Here is a 24,578-nt window from a genome sequence, read left to right as displayed (position 1 = left end):
ATAAAGGTTAATATTAGAGAAGATTTTATTAAGGAGAAATGTATGAAATTACAATCAGATTTTACAGAATTTATAGAGATAAAGATAACCAGCTTAAAACAACTGACTGTGATAAATAAACTTATATTTAAAAAATAGCATTTTTCCTCTAGAGACTGAAAATATACCTAATATAAAATTGATTTCCAAAAATTAATTACATTCATAGCCACTAGTAAAGTTACAAAACATTTTAAAGTAGAAATTGAAAGGAATATAAAGCAAATAAATAACACATGAATGAACAAACATACCAATAGGCAAACTTCTGATGACTTAACTGGAAATCATTTCACTTAGATTGTGTTTGGATCATAGAGAAACTTCAAAGTTAGAATTTTCAGACCACTTAGACAATATCGATAGTGACTCTTGAGGACAACTCCTTCACCGTGCTTTCTCTTCCTTGAGGATACTTCATGTAAAAGATATTTACAAGCTCCCATTAATGCAGGAAAAAAAAGACACCTAAACAAGTTTCTGCTCTAAAGGTGCTGAACAGCACCATAACAGAAGAGCATTCTCCAGCACATGAAAGGTTAAAGAAGAAAAGGGAGTTTAGTGTGAATACACACTTCCTTTTCTGTTGTTTGTTTTTAATAAATACAGAAGTAATTTTTTACTGAGTTGGTAAATACTTTCTTAAAGAAAATAATTATTCTAGTGTAAATAAAGGTAACATTTTTCTTTGCTGTTATGGTCATTAAAAGCACATTCTTATGTAATAAGTTAAAATACTTTGAAATATACCCAACTATTGCCCAGTCTATAAAATGACCAACATAAAAAATAGTCATGGTTTGAAAAAAAATTGATTGTTTTAAAATTAATAGTAAGTTTACAGTATTTTTCTTGAGACATATTATAACCAAATGATATAAAAACAATCTGGATAGAGGTTAAGATGAGCAACTGAAAATTAATCTTCCTACATTGGTGGACATATAAGTGAATTTTTGATGTTTTATTTTAGAAAACATCCATATATAATGCAGTGTGTGCATTTCATTCTCATAACCTTTTTCCAATATGTATTAATACCATGTAAATCTCTTACTTGCCCCAACCGCAAAGACTCTTTTTGCCATAATTGACTGAATCAAGCCAGATATTGGAGTGGACTTTGAACTAAGCTGAGCCAGTTTAATCTCTTGCCCCACTTACCAAAAAACAAAAACAAAACAAAACAAAAAAACTTGTAATAGGAAGACAAGCGGATGGGGAATTGTTAATGCTGGCAGTTATGTTTTGTTTTTTTTTTTCTTTTGATACAGCATCTTGCTCTGTTGCCCAGGCTGAATGCAGAGATGGAGTGACACGATTATAGCTCACTGCAGACTCAAACTTCTGGGCTAAAGCAATCCTCCTTCCTCAGTCTCTCAAGGAGCTAGGACTACAGACATGAGCCAGCATGCCCAGCTAATTTAATTGTGTGTGTGTGTGTGTGTGTGTGTGTGTGTGTGTGTGTGTGTGTGTGTGTAGACAGGACCTTGCTGTGTTGCACAGGCTTGTCTCAAATTCTTGTCTCAAGTGATCTTCTCACCTCACCCTCCCAAAGCACTGGGACTACAGGTCTAAGCCACTGTCCTCAGCAAGTAACAGTGTTCTTAAGATCAGGAAATGCTGGTGCTAAAATTCTGCTTCCATTCTTTCAAATATCAACTACTTCTTCAATTATATGAAACATATTATAAAGATCTTACAAATGAATATTAAGTTTTCTTTTATTCTCAACCTAGCGTAGTTTTAAAAATGCAGCTTTTCAAGTCTGTAACACTGGCTCAGCTGTCACTTTTGAGAACCAGAAATCCTCCTTCCTTTTTAACTTAAGTGTTAAATGTCCCTAATATAAATTCTACTCTAGTGTCCTCTAACATAATTAGCAGCTGATTACTCAAAAGGTGGTATGGTATGGTGAATCTGAGTTTGGGGTCTTGAGTCAGAATGTGAACTCAAAATCTGTTTCTATTACTTATTGTATGATCTTGAGCAGATTACTTACTGCTGTGACATAGTATCTTCATCTATAATATGGTATAATATTAACTTTCTCATATTATAATTATTAGTATTAAATGAGATAATACAATCAAGTAATTGGATGCTTGACATAAGCACACAAATGCATATTATTATTGTCATGTTTCATAACTTGTTGAAACAGTTTACAACTGGTTGTTTTAAAGTATAAGGCACCACTATCTATAGTTGAGCCAAAAATAAGACTTTTTACTCTGTATTTTGCTGTCATTGTGCTAACTCAGTAAATATTATATTCATTCATTAAACAAAGAATGATATAACAAATTAATGTGTGTTGAAATAACTCATAAGCTCATCTCCATCATCTCTTCCACTTAATTGTCCACCAAATCTTATGAACTCTTCTCTGTATATTTCTCTTATATCTATTAATTCCCATTCTTTTACATTATCTTAAGTTGAATCCTTGACAGTTATCATTTAGACTACTGCAATAGTAGTAATATTAGTACAGAGTAGCCTGTGTCATCTCTGTCTCTAGGTTTTCATCTCTAACTCATCTTTCTCACTAATGTTGGGAAATATTTTCAAATTGAAATCTATATCTACATCAACTCAAAACCTTCTGAGGACTCCTCATCACCTATGGAATAAAATAATAACCTTTTATCAAATCATAAATTATTCTGTAAACTGCCTCATTTTACTTTTCTGGCCTCTTTTGCAGCTATTCCACCATTTATAGTTCTGGACGGTAATCACACCAAGTCACCCAAAGTTCTTTAATAAACTGTTGTTTCAATAAGATTTTGAGCCTCTACTACAAGCTAGTGATGTGTTGAGTGCTAAGAAACCTTAAATAACTTAATAGGGAAGATATAAAATAATTAATTGTGTAATTATTGCTCTCATAAAGGTACCTAGACTTTAGTAGGTGCAAATCTGGTTTATGGTTACTTGCTGTAAATTGGAAAATAGCACTGGTATAGTTTGAATCTGTGTCTCTGCCCAAATCTCATGTTGAAATGTAATCCTCAGTGCTGAAGGTAATGTTAGATATGAGTTCTAAATTTCTTTTCAAAGAATCAACATGTCAGTATGTTCGATTCTTTACCTTCTACTTTTAAACTTAACTTCCTTGTAAAGCAACCTTTTTCAATTACCTACTCCACCCTGACTCATTCCGATTACCTGCTCTGTCATAACCATTTTTCCTGCCAAACCACTCACCCCATCACTCTCTTTAAATTAGCCAATTGGAATTAGCTTAGCCTGTGCGGTCTAACCCTAGCCAATAGGGGAACGACACAGCAGCAGGGGCCACATGTGTCAGGGATAAGAACCCCTTCCCCTCCCTTGTCCAAGTGTGTGCTCACCATTGCTCCATCTGTAAGGTTGGACCCTTCTATAGAAGTAACTTGCCTTGCTGAGAATTAAAAAGAAAATTTTATATTCGAGTGCTATTTCTTTTGTGGCACCAAAACTTTATTTATAATGGTAAGGACTTGTGGAAGGTGATTGGGTCATGAAGACAGGGTTCTCATGAATGGTTTAGCGCTATCCCCCCCTTGGTGCTATATAGTGAGTGAATTATCAGGAGATCTGGTTGTTTTGAAGTGTAAGGCACCTCCCCTCCCCTCTCTCTCATGCTCCTACTCCAACCATGTGGTGTGTGCTCTCCTTTACCTTTCACCATGACTGTAAGTTTCCTGAGCGTTCCCCAAAAGTTGAGCACATGCCAGTGTCATGCTTCCTGTACAGACTGTAGAACCATGAGCCAATTAAGCCTCTTTTCTTTATTACCCAGTCTCAGGTATTTCTTTATAGCAATGCAAGAATGGACTAATATAGAAAATTAGTACTGAGAAGTGGGGCATTGCTATAAAGATATCTGAAAATGTGGAAGGAACTTTGGAACTGGGTAGTGGGCAGAAGTTGGTTTCACTCGCATCCATGTGAAGAGACCACCAAACAGGCTTTGAGTGAGCAACAAGGCTGTTTATTTCACCTGGGTGCAGGTGGGCTGAGTCCAAAAAGAGAGTCAGCAAAGGGAGATAGGGGTGGGGCCATTTTATGAGATTTGGGTAGGTAAAGGAAAATTACAGTCAAAGGGGGGTTCTCTGGCGGGCAGGAGTGGGGGTCACAAGGTGCACAGTAGAGGAGCTTTTGAGCCAAGATGAGCCAGGAGAAGGAATTTCACAAGATAATGTCATCAGTTAAGGCAGGAACAGGCCATTTTCATTTCTTTTGTGGTGGAATATCATCAGTTAAGGCAGAAACTGGCCATCTGGATGTGTACATGCAGGTCACAGGGGATATGATGGCTTAGCCTGGGCTCAGAGGCCTGACAGTTGGAAGAGTGTGGAGGGCTCAGAAGAAGACAGGAAGATGAGGGAAAGTTTGGAACTTCCTAGAGACTTGTTAAATTGTTGTGACCAAAATGCTGATGGTGATATGGATGTTGAAGTCCAGGCTGAGGAAGTCTCAGATGGAAATAAAGAACTTATTGGGAACTGGAGTAAAGGTCACTTTTGCTATGCTTTAGCAAAGAGGTTGGCTGCATTGTTCCCCTGCTTTAGGGATCTGTGGGACTTTGAACTTGAGAGTGATGATTTAGGGTATCTGCTGGAAGAAATTTTTAAACAACAAAGTGTTCAAGATGTAGTCTAGCTGCTTCTAATCGCCTATGCTCAGATGTGTGAGTAAAGAAATGATGTGAAATTGGAACTTATATTTAAAAGGGAAGCAGAGTATAAAAGTTTGGAAAATTTGCAGCCTGACCATGTGGTAGAAAAGAAAAGTCCATTTTCAGGGAAGGAATTCAAGCAGGCTGTGGAAATTTGCATATGTAAAGAGGAGCAAAGTGCTAATAGACAAGACAATGAGAAGACTTGAAGGCATTTCAGAGACCTTTGTGGCAGCCCCTCCCATCACAGGCCCAAAGGCCTAGGAGGGAATGGTTTCAAGGGCCATACCCAGGTTCCCACTGCTCTGCACAGCCTTGGGACAGTGCTCCCTTCATCCCAGCTGCTTCAACTCCAGGCATGGCTAAAAGGGGCCCAGGTACAGCTCAGGCCACTGCTTCAGAGGGTGCAAGCTATAAGCCTTGGTGGCTTCCAAGTGGTGTTAAGCCTGTAGGTGCACAGAATGCAAGAGTTGAAGCTTGGGAGCCCCCACCTAGATTTCAGAGGATATATGGAAAAGCCTAGATGTTCAGGCAGAAGCCTGCCACAGGAGCAGAGCCCTCACAGAGAACCTCTACTAGGGAAGTGCAGAGGGAAAATGTGGGGTTGATGCCACCACCGAGAACCCACATGGGCACTGCCTAGTGAAGCTGTGAGAAGAGGGTCCCCTTCTCCAGAACCCAGAATGGTAGAGCCACCAGCAGTTTGCATCATGTGCCTGGAAAAGCCACAAGCACTCAACACCAACCCATGAGAGTAGCTGTGGGGGCTGACCCTGCAAGGCCACAGGGGTGAAGCCGCCCAAGGCCTTGGGAACCTAGCCCTCACACTAGTGTGTCCTGGATATGGGACATGGAGTCAAAGGAGATTATTCTGGAACTTTAAGGTTAAAAGACTTCTCTGCTAGGTTTCAGACTTTCATGGGGCCTGTAGCTGCTTTCTTTTGGCTAATTTTTTTTTTCCTTTTGTAATGAAAGTATTTACTTTCATTACAGATGTGAATTACAATGTGACTGTGAATCCCATGTAATTAATTTGCTGGACCTCAATATGACACAGAATACTGTGGATTGAGTAGGGTGCCAAATCTTGTCACAAACTTAAAATGCTTATCATGTATGTTATTTTCATAATATATATAGATATCATTATATGGAAAACAAACATATACAACAAAACCCCAAATTAAAAAAAAAAATCCAATGCAAACATGGAACTCAAACCCAGAAACCCTAACTCTCAATTCAGTGCTCCTTGTATGACATCATGGAGTTAATGAGTGTCACCTATATGGCATCAGGAGATAAAGAAGGAACTGTCTAGTATTGTTGAGCCCCTGTCATGTTCCAGGATCTGTACATATATTAATGACATTTACTCCTCTCAACAATCCTGTCAGGCATATGAATCCTATTATGTAGATTAGGAATGTAAGGGCCAAAGAGGTTAAATAAATTGCCCAAAATTATATATCTGAGTTAGAATATCAGCCCGTGTCTTTCTTTTGAACAGGAGTATGACATGATAGAAAGGGGAGACTGACAAGGAACAGGAAGGCAAGAGAGGGAAGTATGAGTTCGTAGGGGTATCTTGACATTCTCTCTTTCATGAAACTTCCTGACAAAACCCTATGGCCTGAGCTTTCCAAACATTCCCCTTCCCTGTCCTCTGCCCCAGCCTTTTTTTCTCTCTTGTATCTCTTTTGGTCTCTTGAGCTTCTGCCTCAGAGACATCTCAAAGCATCAGAAGGAGGAGGGAAAAATGGGGACTGAGGGATTGAGGTACAGGATAAAGGAATCTTTCCTAGCTTGGCAGTGTTCTCTATCTATGGGAGGAAGAGAAAGTGGAATCTCTGTATCATCTTTCTTAGTCCCGATGACTCAACTTTTTTTGCATACATTTTAAATCCTCTCCTAACCAACCCAGCCATCTCAGGAGGACCTTGATGAGTCAGTGACATCTGAATAAAGTGAGTGGATTCTGTTATCTGCTGATTCCTCTTCAAGTGGTCAATTATCCCAAGTTTTCTTTACTTATGTCTAATATAGCCATCTTCTTATTCCTCTCTATACCTAATAAAATCCCAAACCTCTCAATATTTTCCACATATATTAATTCTGTTGATACTTAGACTAATATCACTTTCTTTATCTTTTCCTCTCATAGCTGGTCCTTTATTTATTCATAATATACCTGTTCTCCCTACAGTATTTTTGATCATCCATTTCCAGTCTATCCTTTCAACATTCTAGTTATCTCCACCTTATCTCTCATTGGTTTATTGTCTATATAGCAAGTTCATTTTACCCAAATATTATATCTCTTATTCATGTAAATCCAATCTTCTTGCACTTCATCTAACTTCCTCATGTTTTATCTGGTCCCTGCAGATCTACAATCAATGCATGTTTTACTTGCATATAATTCCAACTCTGTCATATTCTCAGTTAGCCACTTAAATTCTCTATTCCTGACCATTTCCACCAAAATCCTTTTTATATACTTTTTTCTTTATATTCCATTCCTGTTATCTGCAATTCATCTGTTCTGCCCACATCATACCTTTCTCCTTTTTGCCATGCATTCATGCAACCACATTATAAACCTTTAATAATCAGTAAGTGAAACCTTATAACAGGAACTACTGTCAGAAGGAGAGATAGATGCTGCAACAAATAATCTAGTGTATAGAAATATGGGTAATTTTGGAGGGGTAATAACTAAGGGACTAAAACATTACGATAAAAATTCCTAGGAAGAGAGTGGGTGTTTTTGACAGAAACATGTTTAAAGTTACAGAGTTATATAACGTCATGACGTGTTTTTAAAAAGTTAAATAGTGGGCAATGATTAGATTGCTGTATAACAGCTAAAAGGAAATACATTTTGATTCTTTACTGGAGGATTTTGTATGTGTTCTCAAAAACTGGATGCTCTTGTTGTCAGCAGTTTCTATACAGAAATATGACTCTGAAAACAAGTGGGAGTTATATTGATGAGGGTACAGGCTGGAGGAAAAAAGACCAGGTAAGATCCTATCAAAATAGTTAAATCAAGGAATATCAATGACCTGCTGTGAGGAACTAGGAGGAAGGCAGTAGAAATAGGACAGAAGAAAAGGGACTGATATGAGAGATAATTAAAGAGGCATTTTAGCTAGAACTTGGATTAGTTAAGTGTGGGATGTGTGTTGGGGGAAAGGGTGGATGGGTACAGAATATCTAGGAAACTTCCAGATGGCTTGCATAGGCGACTGTATGAAAGCTAATGCCATTTATTGTAATAGAGGAATAACTTGCTTGGGAAAGGTTATTCTAGACATAGTAGATTTGTGGAACTCCTGTGACATCCATGGAATTATATCCACTCCATACTCCACCATTAAGGACGTGTGGAACCACTTCAGCTACAGAGGTCCTCCTTTACATCCACCTGATCAATAGCTGCAGGGATGTAGCAAGCAAAATGATATATAGACTTTCATGGACTCTAATGAGACAAGTAACCACAGGAATCTCACTGAACCTGTGAAGGGAAAAGTTTAAAAAAAAAAAGTACCTAATGTCTCTATGGATAGAAGCCTTATGAACCAAGACTTGAAGGCTAAATAGGATGTAGCCATGCTCATGGAGATTGCAGCATGAGGAAAGCTATGAGGTGATACACATGGTGTGCGCTGAGAGCTGCAAGGTATAAAATACAGTGTAGACTGTGGTAAGAAATAAGGTTTAGGTGGAAGCAGTGGCAAAATCATGAAGTGCCTATAGGCCTTGTACCTGTAGGCTAAATGATTTGAGCATTTATTGTGTACACAAAGGGACTATGGACAAGTTTTAAGGAGAGTAAAATGGTCAGTTTTGAGCTAAGATCTCACCTTTAAGGGTAAGACTATAAGCAGAAAAATCAGTTGGGAGTCCATGTGTGAAAGGCTATTATTTTCAAGTATGCAGAGCATCAGACATGAAGGTTGAAGTGACCAAAGGATATGAATGAAGGTCCGAGGCCAAAAGGATCAAAAGCAAAAAGAAGGGTTTATGAGGTAGGTATTGAGGAGAAAGGATCAAGGCTAAGGTCATAAACAGCAATTGTAGGTTTGATGTTCCCACTTATCTATGTATGTACATGTATGGCATTGGGACAGGCATGTAGCTTAAACTTTCAGGGATGAGAAGGTGAAGATATGCCCCTATAACTAGATTATAAGATCCTGAAGACTCAGCATGTGTCTGTGAACCTTTATATACCACAACTCTTAGCCCATGGTCTAGAGCATTGCCGATCAACCATCAATTTTGAAATAAATAAAATTGTGGGTGTGAATGGTAAGAATAGGAGTGATGGGAAATGAAAGCCAGGGTCATAGGTATTTTGTAATTGCATTACAGTATTAAGAGAAATTCAAGGGCTCAAGTACTGAGTAATGCTCAAGTAATGATAGCAGAGCATACAGAGAAGAGAAAGTCAGGCATAAAATTATTAGCAGGTTGTTTTAATTTGTGAGCACATTCTGCCCCCACTAACCTCATAGGGACAGATTTAAGACTAAAAGGTAAGAAATCTGAGAAGAAATCGCACCCAGATGCTCAGCTGACTCTACCCCATTCTCCTTTCTAAACTCCACACTCTCTCCCAATGCTATATCTGTACAGGGGAACAGGGTAAAAATAACCCTTCCTTCATATCAACTCCCATGTAAAAATCCCAACTTCTTGTCTACATGAGACACAAAAATGGCTTGAAGTTTTTAAAGGGAAAGGGAAATTTTTATCTTTGATACCAAGGTAAACAAACAGTATCCTAGTAAATGTATGTTTTTATATGGGCCTTAATGTTAAAGGAAGATACTCTATCCTCATTTCAAGATACTTAGTACAACTTCCAGCATCTTGTAATTCTTAGTCTTTCTGCCATCCAGCATCCATTTCCTAATCTGATTTCCTAGTGAATCTCATGTCTTCCTTGTAAGTACTGGGTTCTGCAGACTTCCACTCTACAGGTACTGTGACCTTCTGGTATTCTGCTTTTGTCTTTCTTTCCTCCTGGCAGGAAGGAACTGTTTCTGTAACTGATCTCAAAGATTCTCTCTCCCAGCTGTACATCCAAGATGTATTGTACAGTCCCTCCTTTACATCACCTAAATATTTTGGAAGCTCCAAGGTCCTGACTTCCCAGTTCCACCTCTTGCTATTTCTGCAACCCAGAATTAGTCACTTAAATCTATATTTCAGTTTTTTTAGGCATACAGTTGTAGCTATTAGTAGTACTAGCCCACAAGATTGTTGTTAAGATCAAGCGAATTAATACTGCAAATGTTTTACAGCAGTGCATGCAATAATAACAGTGCCTGTGCTAATAATAACTCAATTGTGTTATATATGATTGTTATTCCTCCATTGTGTAACTTATTTCCTCAAAACAGAGTCATGATCCAACTCAAAGACAAACTCTCATTTTAGGGCAGCCGAGACTCTTTCAATTTTTTGGTTTTGATCTATGTTCTTTGGGGACAAAATAGTGTCATTTTTCCCCAGTGCATCTCAATGCATGCTTCTCCAAAGGTCAGAACAGACTCCTTCCTATCTTGTTTCCAAAAAAAAAAAAACATTTATTTTTGTATGTTTGCCTTAGCTCATTTCCAGATTAAAGAAGAGAGCAGTGGCCTCAGCTCAGTGATTAATTACATGAACTCCTTACGTGGTATTCGACCAATATAAGCCCATTAAGAGAAAGGCTGGGTTCTTGTTGTGGCCTACTGAAGACTCTCTACTCTCATCTCCTGAAGAGCAGTAAGAGAGACCAATGACATGGAGTGGCGGAACCATAGTGGGAGAGTGAGTGAGTTTGTGTTGCTGGGCTTCCCTGCTCCTGCGCCACTACAGGTACTATTGTTTGCCCTTTTGCTGCTGGCCTATGTGTTGGTGCTGACTGAGAACACACTCATCATTATGGCAATTAGGAACCATTCTACCCTCCACAAACCCATGTACTTTTTTCTAGCTAATATGTCCTTTCTGGAGATCTGGTATGTCACTGTCACTATTCCCAAGATGCTTGCTGGCTTTGTTGGATCCAAACAGGATCATGGACAGCTAATCTCCTTTGAGGGATGCATGACACAGCTCTACTTTTTCCTTGGCTTGGGCTGCACTGAGTGTGTCCTTCTCGCTGTTATGGCCTATGATCGCTATATGGCCATCTGCTATCCTCTCCACTACCCAGTCATTGTCAGTGGCCGGCTGTGTGTGCAGATGGCTGCTGGCTCTTGGGCTGGAGGTTTTGGCATCTCCATGGTCAAAGTTTTTCTTATTTCTGGCCTCTCTTACTGTGGCCCCAACATCATCAACCACTTTTTCTGTGATGTCTCTCCATTGCTCAACCTCTCATGCACTGATATGTCCACAGCAGAGCTTACAGATTTCATCCTGGCCATTTTTATTCTTCTAGGGCCACTCTCTGTCACTGGGGCCTCCTATGTGGCCATTACTGGTGCTGTGATGCACATTCCTTCGGCTGCTGGACGCTATAAGGCCTTTTCCACCTGTGCCTCTCATCTCACTGTTGTGATAATCTTCTATGCAGCCAGTATCTTCATCTATGCTCGGCCAAAGGCACTCTCAGCTTTTGACACCAACAAGTTGGTCTCTGTACTGTATGCTGTCATTGTACCATTGCTCAATCCCATCATTTACTGCCTGCGCAATCAAGAGGTCAAGAGAGCCCTATGCTGTACTCTGCACCTGTACCAGCACCAGGATCCTGACCCCAAGAAAGCTAGCAGAAATGTATAGAAGGGATGTGTGAAATCTGATAAAATGCTATTAAACTTGGGATCAATGTGTTCTATGAAGTCCAGTGGAGTTCTTAGGGCCTAAATTGGGGGCCAGAGTTTCAAAGGCATCACTATGGAACTAGGAATACTTTCTTTAACTAGTCCAAGAGGAGAGAGAGGAATAGGTTGCAAGCTAGAAAATGGATTTCTGCAGGACAGGGCCATAAAATACAGGATAGAGCTGGGTCCACTATTGTCTGTCCCTTTGTAATTTGCATAGACAAGGTTCCAATCAAGGAAGCACAGGCTTCATTACGGAAAAGCAACACAAGACTTTTTGATAAGATCTCTATTAGGTAGCAGAGGCCCAGGAGATATCATTCTAGCGTGTGTTACAAGGCAAGGAGATAAGAAACTAGGAATTTTTGTTTTGGGAACATATCACCTATCAAAACATAATGGTTTCTAGGTTTATTTTCAAATTTACTGTGGTCAGTGTCCACATTGAACTAGTGGCTGAGTGCAGTTGTTTCATCAATACTCTGTCTCCCTGATTAGACTATAAGCACCATGGTGACAGGATCAGATTTTCTTTTACATCCTTTTATTACCATGGGCAGGAACAGTATCTAGTGCATGATGGCTATGAATATGTATAATGAATGAATATAGTTTGGAACCATGTAGGCAAGGCATGTGTGTCATGCCTATATGTGGGGTTGGCAGGTGCAGGAAGTAAACCCCTCATACTTTACTAGTATGCAGAGAGATACAAATTGGCTCAGCCTTGCCAGAAAAAAATTTTGAAAATATGTATTACAAATCCTAAAAATATTGCAACCATTCTGATTCGGAAAGATTTGTGCAGATAGACACTTTTACTTATAAATACAGAAACAAGGAAAGGAAATAAGCAAAATATGCTCAACTTTCGCAAACAGGGCACTGGTCAAATAAATTGTAGCTCATATGTTACATGGAAAACTATGCAGAAATTGAAATAAAGTGATCTAAATAGAGTTAATGAAAGAAAAAATATTTCTAACTTAATAAAAATATTATGTTATATAACAGTATCAAAAATATCAGCCATATTTGCTTGTTTAAACAAGACTAGAAGGAATATGACTAAAATGCTGGCTAGATAATGCTGGACTGCTTACACCTGTAAATTGCATTCTGTGGCTAAGCATTGCCATCAATATATTTATTTAAATGCTTTTTTTCTTAGCCCATATTATATATAACTTTATTTATCTGGACAGGGAGATGGATACAGGGTATGTCAGTATGATTTTCAGAAATTTAGCTCCCTACTGTCACCCGACAACCAGAACTCTGAAGACAGTGAAGATTCTATCTCCAGATATGGATCCAACTGTTGCTCAAGATGTGGGATCTAACTTTATTGCTGTATGTTACTTAATAAAATTTACAAAAGGATATTACCAAGGATATCATGCATTATTTGCTAGCCCATACTTATTAAAAGTTTTAATATAATGTGCATATCTATTTGTGCCTAAACAGTATAAGTATCTTGTTGTAATAATTTTTTAAATGACTGGATATAAAGTTCATCAAAAATCTACTGTCGAAGTGTCCCCGTAGAAGAAGTTTCTGAAATGGGGTTGTGATCAGGGATGGGAGAGTCCTCCTCTAGGCATTGTTATTACAACTCTTTTATAAACTCTTTTATAAGTTAACTCGAGTTAATAGGAAGTAAAAGCATAATGTTGAATTTCTTCATTGTGCTTTTCTTTTATTTTCCAATGCTTTAAAACACCTCTAATTCTGATTTCAAGTATTGGAATAGGGTTTAGCACAGTATTCCTCACATACTCACCTTTCAATAAACCACGAATGAGTTTGAGTCCCATGTACTATGGTGAGATTGACACCTCTCCAGACGGGGACTGAATTTTTAGTGAACATATGACCCTCAGGACTCATATTGAAATTGAGGTCACAAAACTTTGTAAACTTTTTCATGTGAAGTATTGATTATCAGATTAAGTATCCCCCATCCTCCATTTATGTAACTGATTTTTCCCATAAACGTAGATGTAGAACTTTATTTTATCCTTGTTCCATTTGATCCTGTTTGTTTTCGACCATCTTTGTAATCTGCCGGTCTTTCAAAGTATTGCTTAGATAATATAAGTCTTTTATAATTCCCCTTTGCTAATACAGTATCTGGAGAAGCTTCTAGTCTCTTGCATCAGTACAAGAGGTGGGAGTACTGGATCTACCCGGGTTATTCAGAGTGGCCAGAGGCAACTAACAACTACAGGCAAGTGAGGATTAATATAAATGACTTCTGTGCTCCAGGTGTCTAGTGGTTTCCAATGTTGAGTAAACTCCAGATTTCTCAGTCTGCCTTTTAAGTTTCTTCACAGCACATTCTTAATTTTCCTTTTTGTCCTTATTTTAATTTTTTGTCCACTACAAACCTTGTACAGGTGAATTCTAGATTGTGATTAACAATTTTTATTTGAGACTAATAAGCCAGTGTATTTCACTGTTTGCTAAAACATCACATTGACCAGGATCAGGAAACAAAAATCCTTCTTGATAAACAGCATTTTAAAAATAACAATTGTTCTGCAGCTCTGTAAACCCTATTTCCCTTCATTAAAAAACCCTTACAGTTATGAACAAGTAAAGACTGAGAAATATCAGATCAAAGCTTGTCAAAGAGACAAGATACCTATATGGAGTACGGTATATTGGATTGGACCCTGGAACATAAAGTAATACTAACAGAAAAGATAATAAAATCTGAATAAAATGGCAAAATCTGAATAGTTTAACAGTGATGTATCAATTTTGGTTTCTTATTTTGACAAGTATGTATGCTAATGAAGGATGAATATATTAGAAGAAACAAACTGAGAGATGGGTGTGTGAAAAACTCTCTTTAGCATCTTTGCAATTTTTCTGTAAGCCTAATATTGTTCCAAAATTTAGAAGTTTATTTTAAAAAGAAACACGTTGTTAGTTTTTCCTTACCAAATATTTTAAGAGAAGTTTGATTTATTTTACTGGCTTTCATAAAATAAAGATATATTTTCCCTTCCTTTATAGTTACAATAATATGTACAGCTAACACTTGACTTTTTTGAATATTTACCTGAATTTTTTTATTATCATGATATTCATGAATTGATGCTGTTTTTATTTAGCTAATTGATAAGACAGAGATGAAGTGAAGTATAATTAACAAAATTGATAAAGTTAGTGCTTTATATACTTAGCAACTCTAAAAAATTATGCCAGCTCTTTTGAATATCACCATTTGGTGCCAGCAAGAATAAGTGGACATCTCCGTGTGCTTGGTAGAGAAGCGGGCCTATAGGGCAGGTGTATTCATTTTCTCTTAGAAGCATTCCTCAGATCAAGATTGCCTTGTGTGATTTTCATGTTTCATAGTCACACTTCATGAAAACCAATGGCCCCCGCCTTCCCAGAATTAGTGACAATACACAATATGCCTTTCAACAAAGATTTTGGTTGGTTGGAGTGGGGAAAGAGCTAGGTCCGTTCTTCTCCACCAAATATCAGTCACACATAGGCCTTCAGATCCTCAAGGACTGGAGAACATTTTCTAAGACTTCTCATTTTTTCAGTCCCTTGCTTCAGCTCCCTGCAGCTAACTTTGGCTACTCACCAAGACACAAGTGCATCTCCTTGGCCTTTGTTCTTGCAAAACTTCTAGCAGTTGACTCCAGATTTTATGGTTACTTTTGGCACAATTAGCAGCAGAGACAGAAATAACTAGGCTGTGGATGACTTGATGGACAGAAGGGTCTGTCAGTTCACCCTTTTCTTAGCATGCAGGGCACACTTCACAGATGTTAATGTCTGAGTGCTTCCTGGAGTCCAAAGCAGTGGTGGGGCCTCTTGTCACTGAGGAGGAATTATTATCCTATAGCTTCACTGTTTGCTGTCATTACTCTGCGTTCCTTCCTGTTCTAGGCTGAAAGCCTAGAGGGCTCTACACTGCAAGTCGTCTCATCTAATTTGTACTATTCAAATCCTGGGTGTAGTTCATATTCCAGCAGAGGTAATATTTTACATTCCTATAATGAAGACAAAGCAGCTTTAGAAATGTTTTCAAATGATTTTTTATGTTTATTATTATGTATAATTTGCCCATAGTTTTCTTTTTTTTCCAACTTTATTGAGATATGGTTGACAAATATGACTAGAATGTATTTAAGGTATACAGTGTGATGATTTGATATACGTATACCCTGTGAAATGATGACCACATGCAAGCTAATTAACAGAGCAACATATCAATCACCTTACATACTTACCCTCTGTGCGTGTGTGTTGTGAGAACACGTGACATCTACTTCTGCAGCAAATTTCAAGTACACATTTTTATTAACTTCAGTCACCATGCTATATGTTGGAACCTCAGAAATTATTCATCTTAAAAATAAAAGTTTGTATCTGTTGACTAATATTTTTCATTTCCTCCCACAGTCACCCCAAACCCTTGGCAAACACCACTGTACTCTCTATTACTGAGTTAGACTCTTTTCTAGCTTCCGCATTAAGCAAAATTAGACAGCATTTGTATTTCTGTGTTGGGCTTATTCCACATAGCATAATGTCCTCCAGGTTGGTCTATTTCATTGCAAATGACAGAGTGTCCTTCCCTTTTAAGGGTAAATAATATTCTATTGTATAAATAGACCACATTTTCTTTATCCATTGGTCTGTTGATAGACTCTTAGGTTGTTTCCAATATTTTGTCTATTGTGAATCATGCTGCAATAAACATGGAGTGCAAATATGTCTTGGAAACAGCGATTTAATTACCTTTGGATATATAGTCAGAAGTGGGAATCTTGGATCATACAGTAGTAATAGTTTGAATCTTTAGACCTCCATACTGTTTTCCATAATGGCTGTACCATTTTACATTCCCATGAATTGTGTACACAGGTTCCATTTTCTCCCCATACCTACCAACACTTGTTTTGCTTTGACTTTTTTGGTTTTCAAAAATAATACTAACAGGCAAGACGTGATATCTCGTTGTTTTTTGTTTTTTTGTTTGTTTGTTTGTTTGTTTTCTGAGATGGGGTTTCGCTCTTGTTGCCCAAGCTGGAGTGCAATGGCGCGATCTTGCCTCACTGCAACCTCCTCCTCCCAGGTTCAAGCGATTCTCCTGCCTCAGCCTCCTGTGTAGCTGGAATTACAGGCATCCACCATCACACCCGGCTAATTTTTTGAGTCTGTGGATTATACAAGTAGTGAGGTCTTTGGGACTCAAAAGCATATGGACAGAACTTAAATCTATGTAAGTGGATGAAATTACTCAGGAAGAGATTCTTGATTGAGAAGACAGGGAAGTCCATGTTTGTATCATCTGAATGTGGAAACATTCAGAAAGAAAAACGAATCCAATAAGGCAAAAAAGGTTAGGGATTAAAGAAGCAAGCCAGAGTTGTGTGGTGTCTGGAAGCCAAAAGAAGAAAAATTTCCCAACAGAAGGGTGAGGTCAATTATATCAATGTTGCTGAAAGGTTGATGAAGGAGAATATGGAGGTAGACATTTTATTTAGCACATTAATGATAATTTTCACAAAGAACAGGTCCATAGAAAGAGACCAGAGCTTGATTGAAAGTGTGTTAAGATGCGAATAGAAGATCAGCAGAGGAGAAAATGGGCATAAGTGTTCCCTTTGTATTTTTTTTTTTTCCTGTGAAGAGAAGCTGAAAATAATGCTACAGTTACTGAGGGGGATTGGAGTCATGCAAAGACTTCTTACTTTATTTATTTATTTATTTATTTATTTATTTATTTATTTATTTATTTTGTGACAGAATCTCACTCTGTTGCCCAGGCTGGAGTGCAGTGGTGCAATCTCGGCTCACTGCAGTCTCTGCCTCCCGGGTTCAAGCAGTTATAATGAGGGAAAACAGGAAGTGTACACGCAGGCACAGATATGTGGAGGATTTGAAGAGGGCTTTGTAGCCAACTGCTTCTGTTCTAGTGAAGTGTGAGGCAAGGCATCAGCTTAGAATGATGGTGTGGAATGTTCATTTTAAAACTGACTGAGACTAGGTTCCAGAAGTATAGTCATGCACCATGTTCAGGAAGGCAAGGCTGAGTATTGTAAAAAATGCTCAAATTACAAATTAATTTATCAGTTAAATATATTCACAATCAAATTACAAGTGAGCTATTAAGATGTGAATGATAGAATCAAATGTCTTCCAAAAGAGTAAAGAGGAGAAAGAAGCTAGAACTGAAGAGTTAGCCAAAATATAGCTTACTAGAACATGTCTGATGAAGGTAGTAAAATAATAGAAAATGAAAGGATTACTTTAAAATATTGCTAGAAAAATGGTACCTTTGACAAAAGTTGAAATATCATCATTTTCACATGTAAAGATAAGTTTGACATTTATTGTTAAAGTTAAACATATAGAGTGACAAAACACATAAAATATATAAATTGTTACCTAAATTGAACTGTATGATGCACAGCAAAGACGTCAATGAGAATAGAAAATTATATCCTAACAGTAAAAATCACTGGAAAAAAAAATAAAAGATATCCTTCACTATACAAATATTTTAAATATTTCTCTTTCTAAAAATCTCTGCCATGCAGATATTAGAAGCCAAATAACAAATTGAAAAGAAGTTATTACCACAAATATAACAAAGTCTCCGTGTTCCTAACCTGTAAAAAAACTTCAACAAATCAATAAGAAAACTGTGGACAAGTTACTTAAGCAAATTAAAATAGGCAAATTTTATACCTTATCAATTAGTGAAGACTACTTATATGTAAAATTTAACATGAAAAAATATGTAGTGGGCTAAGTACACTTATATGTTGCTGGTAAGAATGCAAAATATTTAACATTTTAAGAAAACAATTTGTCTTTTCATATGAAGAGTATTAAACAGATTTTTAACCTTGGTTCGAGTAATTTCACTCATAGGAATTTTCTATAGAAAAAAAGTCACACATCCAAGAGATTGACATTATTGATTTCACACACACATACACACACACACAGAGACATACACACACACACACACACACACACACACACGACAATGTTAAAGGTAAAACAATGATAAAATAGCTAATAATGTTACAAAACACCCATATGATGTAACATTATACCATCACTCAACAGTATTTTCAGGGCCATTTATTCTGTAGGTGTTAAATTTATTAAATACTTATTATACGACACATGCTGATTACAAGTATAAAGATGTCTTTATATTTATATTTACTAACTTGTTTCATCCTCACAACACTACAAAGTAGGTCTTATTGTTAATGTCAACTTACACTTTGCAAACTTGCAGACTTGGGCACAAACAGGTTAAGTAATATGCTAAAAGTTATAGAAATAAGTGGGGTGTATTCAATTCTAACTTCTGTACGCTGATAGCTGACCCTAGACTCTTTGCAGTGCTGTATACTGCCACTATATAATATAGGAAAAATAACTATATGCTTGTAGGTTAAAAAAATCTGTTTTACACACACACATCAACTCAGTAAAATGCATGCCTGTATTAAAATGGAAGGAAATTCATATAAATACGTGTAGGAATTATCTCTACTCAGCCTTGCCTTCCAAACATGATATACTACTACTATACTTTCTGAACCTAGTCTCAGTTACTGTTTTAAATTACTATAGGAATTGATTTAAAAAGCGTTAGCGAATCTTCAAACAGCAATATCCCCCAAAAGAGTGTCATGTAATTAGCCATATCATTTTATATTATTTTTAATCTTCAAAATGCAACTCACAGCTTTTGTTCACATCTTTTGTTTTCAATATTCTCAGACTTATAGACAAACTAATAGTAGTGCAGCATAATTAAGCTGGTGAGAAAATGCATTATGTTGTCCTCTCCATCTTTAGCACAAACACACAGACACACTGACTTAAATATCCACACCCACCATGCATGTGAACACTGCAATGGTTGGAATGTTACAAGATAGCCTTGGATAATGGAAAATCACTATTTTGCTTGTTTGTTTTTGTATTAGCAAGAAATAAGCAAAGTTGTTTATCATGAACCTTGCTTATGGACTACCTTCACCTCCTATTTTCTTCATTTTATTAATAATTGCATTTTAGGAACTATAAAGTATCTCCATGTCAAAAACCAACAAACAAAAACAAACAAGCAAAGACACTTGTTAGAGTGTTTCATATGGCTGATGTTTAGAAAGAAAAAAAAGAGCAAGTACAATGCAAATACAAGCAAACTACTACCAGTTGGGGCATTAGACAAGAAGTCTATATAACCTTTTAATAAGGTCAGTTGGTCTAAATTTGTGCAAATCTCAAGACATCTCCCCCTTTGATGTCTGGGTTTTACTTACACCACCCACTTGAAACTTTCCTTTCTCTGGTTCTTTTCCTTTCCCTGATCCAATATAAACTTCGAAGGTTAGGGGTCATGTCCCAAGGTGGGAACCCATTTAACTAAATACCTTCCTGGGAAAATAAAGATTAAATTTTAAATAGAGTGAAGAGTAATTTTAGATAGTGTAAATCATGCCCTATAAATTACTTCATGGAGAGAAGATTTAAAGAGCATTTGACAAATCCAGTTACATTCCTTCACTTTTCTATTAAATGCTATACTCTGCACTGTATTGGTTTTACCATTAGTATTTGATTCATAACATGAATCTTTTGACTCTCAGGAGAAGGAATTCTGGAAGCTAGCCATGATCCTTCCCTAGAGCGTGGAGTGTGCTGGCAGCATGTATTTTCCCAGGACCCTCCTCAAGGCCCGCATGACCTCCTTATTCCTCAGGCTGTAGATGAGTGGATTCAGGGCTGGAGTGACAATTGTGTAGAAAACAGAGATGATGTTGTCTTGTCTGGTGCTGTGGAAGGAACTGGGCAAGACATACATGAATGTGGCAGCTCCATAGAACATCCCAACCACAGTCAGGTGGGAAGAGCAGGTGACAAGGGCTTTCTTCCTCCCCTCATTTGATGGCATATGGAGCACAGTGAGTAGAATTTGTGTATAGGAGGCCAGTATAGCAGCAAGAGAGGGAATCAGGAAGGTCACACCCATCACATATACCATGAGCTCATATCTGGAGGTATCAGCACAGGCCACCTTCAGCAAGTGTGGGATCTCACAGAGAAGATGCCTGATCTCCTGGGCCCTGCAGAAGGGATAGTGCATGGTATACACGGTATATATTAGGGCACTTAGGGATGCCAGGATCCAGGACGTGGCCACCATGAGCCAGCAGGCTCTTGAGCTCATGAGGGTCATGTATGTCAGAGGATGACAAATGGCCACATACCTGTCATAGGCCATGAAGGCCAGTAGGAGGTCCTCAGCACCACCCATTGTCAGTGCCAGGAACATCTGAAGGGCACAGCCTCCAAAGGAGATGGTGTTTTCTCTGCGCAGAAAGTCCGCAAGGGCCTTGGGAGTGACAACAGATGTGAACAGGAGGTCCATGAGAGAGAGCTGCCCAAGCAGGAGGTACATGGGCATGTGGAGCCGGGCTTCCATGGTGATAGCCAGGAGCAGTAGGCCATTGCTGATCAGGGCCAACAAGTATAGGATTGTAATTGTAGCACAGAGCAGTTCAGGAGACCCACTGTCATTCAGAATCCCCACCAAAATGAAGCCACTTCCCAAGGTGAAGTTCCAGAGCTCCATGCTGTGGTTTCTTTCATCACCTAGAACAAGATGGATACTTCATGAATTTTTGCTAAGATGAACTCTAGTTTTGAAATATCAGAGGCTTCTTAGGACATGAATCCACTGAGATGTTACCCTTTCCACTGATAACTGACTTTGCCTCTCGATTTCTGAATGTCTGACTTCTCACTGTATTTTGATAAAAGTTCCATCTAAATGGAGAACAGACATCACAGTAATAACTAAACATTAAGAGATCACACATAAAATCTTATTTAGGACATTAAACCTGAACATGTATCTTTCCAAAAGCAAAAAATTATCTTTCTCTTAAGATTAAAGAAATATTCTGCCACACAAATCCTTGATTATCCTTGTAACTATCCAGTTAGTTTTCTTCATAGACTTGTTTTGATATGAAATTCCAAACAGGTACAGAGACTGGTTTTCAATAAAGCACTTTCACTTCTTTTTCCGTAGAACTTACAGCCACATTTGTTTGCAGTACTCAAGGCAGTAGATGAAAGCCTCATTAGTAGGCTAAAACTTGTCCACCTTAGTTACTTCTCTCTTGGCCAGCCCCACGTTCTACAGAAGCTTGAGAGAGAAGGGATAATGGACTGCCTGAGACAAGAGAATGTTGTGTTTGAGAAGATGTTGCATTTAGAGCTAAATACTTTAGGGTCAATACAAATGTGTTTATTTAAAACAGGTTATATTAAGATGTGAGCTTGGAAGGGCTCTGAAATATAACATATGAGGGCTTTCCTAGGAAGATCAGGATGTTTGTGTTTGGGAGAAATGGTGAAAGGGAGCAAGAGAGCATCTATTATATGCTGTAATTATGCTCAATAATTCTATCCCCTCTCCTGCCTTTGACCAGATGTTCACTCTCCCTTCTGCAGGGCCAGAACCTTTAAACTTGGTAGAAGGACCACAGGAATAGGGAGGAACTGCTTTTCCAGAAAGCAGCTGTTGGCATTGTGGTACCCAATCCCATGGAGAAGCCAAGGAGAAGGACAAGGGCCTAAGATTGACAGGAGTCTATGTGCATTGTGAAACTGGATAGATAAAGCCAACTGTGAACATGCAGTTAAAGATTTTGAAGTGAAGCATCCTTTGTCAATCATTTCCCCATATATGGCATCTATGTTTTCATATTTCACTGGTTTCCACTAGCCTCTTATGGGGCCATTAGTACCTTAATGGTTAAAAGGTATAAGAACATGCAATGGACATATCATCACTTTTTAGATGGCCCTTTAGGATATTCATCATCTGATAGATGCAAAAATGCGTTACCGGGAGCCAGCAGAGCACACAGGGTCTAAAGACAAGTATTGCGATTTCCACCAGGAAGCAGATACCCATGCCTGGGCTGTAGCACAGTCCTTATTGGTTCTCTTTTCGGGTTCAGAAAATTAAGAATAGACAAATTGGAACAGGCTATGAAGCCCAAACATTATACTAGGGAATCTGGCAGACCGAGTAGTTCAAGTTCTTAGGGTATGCTTTGGACTCCATTTTTCCTACTCAGCTTACCTAGAGGCACACCTTCCCCTGAAATAAATACAAAGTCCTTACCTCAGGTTGTGAGAAGCTTAGCTGTCCGACCACTCAGACTTTCCTAGGGATTGTTTGAAGTTCAAGGATGTTCCAGTCGAAATGGGAAGAAAGGACGTGGCTTTCTTCAGCAGTGTTCAGTTGGTTTAATATTGCCAAGTTGGGTTAAGTGTCTGAAAAGTACTAGTGAGATCAGATGTCAGGGCCCTTCTATTCCTTCCACTTATCTGCAGGTCTACCCTAGAGATAGCAGTGGATGCAGGCAGACAGCTAATACAGAATTTGGGTAGTTTCCTATATAGGAAGAAGATTACTTTCTTGTTCTCACGCCTGTGAAGAACTAGTAGCAACTACTTTCATACAGGTTGCCAGGGAGAGAGCCCCTCTAGCCCTAGAGCAGTTACCAGACTGAGTTCTTGGGTTCAGATACTCAGACTTTCCTTCATTCTTGCTGGGGTCAGGGAGCAAAGATAAAAGCTGCAGGGTCCTGGAGGAAGTAGATATTGAGTCGATATTGAAAGAGCTGCCCAAAGGAGATTCTGTTGTCCCCTGCCTCACTCTCCCTGGAGCCAAAGGTGAGCCAGAGCCTTGTCCTGAGAGAGGCTGCCCTGTCTTTTGATCCATGATCTCTTCCCTCTATTTTACCCCTATGTTCCGAGGGACTTATCCTCTCAACTCAAATGGCTTCCCTGGAAATGCTGGCCCAAGATCAGGATGACAATTAATCCTCATGGGTGTGTTTCCTGGCCTGGTACTCCTATATTCTTCTTTCACTAAATAAGCTCCTAGGCTCTATGTTTCTATTCCACAAGGGAGGCACTGATAGCTTGTTTCTAAATTAACTAAATAGAGCAGGACACAAAGTCTCCTTATGTGGCCAGCCCTCTGTCCCAGAAAATAAGGTGGCTTTCCTTACTTATGTGGCATGCTGCTTCCTTCTTTATGATCCTTTTACCCTGGACTATCTCCTATTCAATATGACTGCTCCCTGAGGAGTCTGTAAATGTGAGGTCTTCCCCTCATTGACCTTTGGCAATCCAGTATGGCTTATATGTCTTGGTGTTACTGTGTTCTTCCACCAGTGATGCTTAAAGAGTAAATAGACAGTTTTCTAAGTATTGGGCACGAAAACAAAAAGGAATTCATACAGTACTGAACTTGAAGAGTATCAATATCAATGAAAACATTTTATATTCTCCAAGAAATAAAAGACAGATTACCCACTAAGTAAAGACAACTAGATAATAGTGGACTATCAATAGCAGCAATAGGACAAGGGAGAAATATATTCAAAAGTGCTGAGGAAACTTAACTGCACACCTATGATTCCAGGCACAGCTGAGCCATTATTAATGAATTAGGACAAAGTAAAAATGACATTGGAAAGTATTTATCCCCAAACACTCCCAATAAAATAATTTCAGCAAGGAGAAAAGTGGCACCTAGAAAATGTATACAAGGAGAAATAATGAACTTAGAAATTGATTCAATAAGTGAATTGGCTAGTTTAATTCACGAATAATAAAATATGTTTATATTTTTAAAAGAGTAAAACTAAAATTCTTCACAAAAATAATAACATGAGTGGAATTTTCCTATGGGTACTTGAAGTCTGTAGAAGCAGAATATTAAAAGCTTCATCCTCGTTTATTTAACACTATAATTTCCTTTTTTCATTATTCATTAAAGTGCAATCTACATACAGTAAAATTCACCTTTTTTAGTATACAGTTTTACAAGTTTTGACAAATGTATATAGTCTTGAGACCACCACCAAAATCAAGACACAGAAGTTTCATCAGCCACAAGAATTCTCAGGTGCCTGTTTGTATTCCTCCCCTCCCCCTCCCAA

The 24,578-nt window shown here is 38.2% G+C and overlaps 2 protein-coding genes across 2 annotated transcripts, besides 2 other annotated features; one reads left to right on the top strand and one right to left on the bottom strand.

Moving 5' to 3' along the window:
- Nucleotides 3,958-4,873: an enhancer, noted in NCBI's record as "OCT4-NANOG-H3K27ac hESC enhancer chr11:6822577-6823492 (GRCh37/hg19 assembly coordinates)". NCBI's record gives its function as "activates a minimal SCP1, AML or CMV promoter by ChIP-STARR-seq in naive and primed H9 embryonic stem cells {active_cell/tissue: H9 hESC(naive and primed)}" and the evidence as "EXISTENCE:reporter gene assay evidence [ECO:0000049][PMID:30033119]".
- Nucleotides 4,874-5,790: an enhancer, noted in NCBI's record as "OCT4-NANOG-H3K27ac hESC enhancer chr11:6821660-6822576 (GRCh37/hg19 assembly coordinates)". NCBI's record gives its function as "activates a minimal SCP1, AML or CMV promoter by ChIP-STARR-seq in naive and primed H9 embryonic stem cells {active_cell/tissue: H9 hESC(naive and primed)}" and the evidence as "EXISTENCE:reporter gene assay evidence [ECO:0000049][PMID:30033119]".
- Nucleotides 6,530-14,483, top strand: OR6A2 (olfactory receptor family 6 subfamily A member 2). Its single transcript, NM_003696.3, has 2 exons — nucleotides 6,530-6,675; nucleotides 10,335-14,483. The coding sequence occupies exon 2, from the start codon at nucleotides 10,511-10,513 to the stop codon at nucleotides 11,492-11,494; it is 984 nt and encodes a 327-aa protein (NP_003687.2). The 5' UTR covers nucleotides 6,530-6,675; nucleotides 10,335-10,510; the 3' UTR covers nucleotides 11,495-14,483.
- A 177-nt stretch (nucleotides 14,484-14,660) lies between these two features.
- Nucleotides 14,661-23,199, bottom strand: OR2AG1 (olfactory receptor family 2 subfamily AG member 1). Its single transcript, NM_001004489.3, has 2 exons — nucleotides 22,748-23,199; nucleotides 14,661-21,201 (listed from the first exon to the last, which is right to left on the bottom strand). The coding sequence occupies exon 2, from the start codon at nucleotides 21,179-21,181 to the stop codon at nucleotides 20,231-20,233; it is 951 nt and encodes a 316-aa protein (NP_001004489.1). The 5' UTR covers nucleotides 21,182-21,201; nucleotides 22,748-23,199; the 3' UTR covers nucleotides 14,661-20,230.
- Between the last annotated feature and the right edge of the window lie 1,379 nt (nucleotides 23,200-24,578).

The sequence above is a fragment of the Homo sapiens genome, chromosome 11, assembly GCF_000001405.40.
Source record: "Homo sapiens chromosome 11, GRCh38.p14 Primary Assembly".
Taxonomy (NCBI): Eukaryota; Metazoa; Chordata; class Mammalia; order Primates; family Hominidae; genus Homo; species Homo sapiens.
This window is presented reverse-complemented; position numbering and strand designations above follow the sequence as displayed.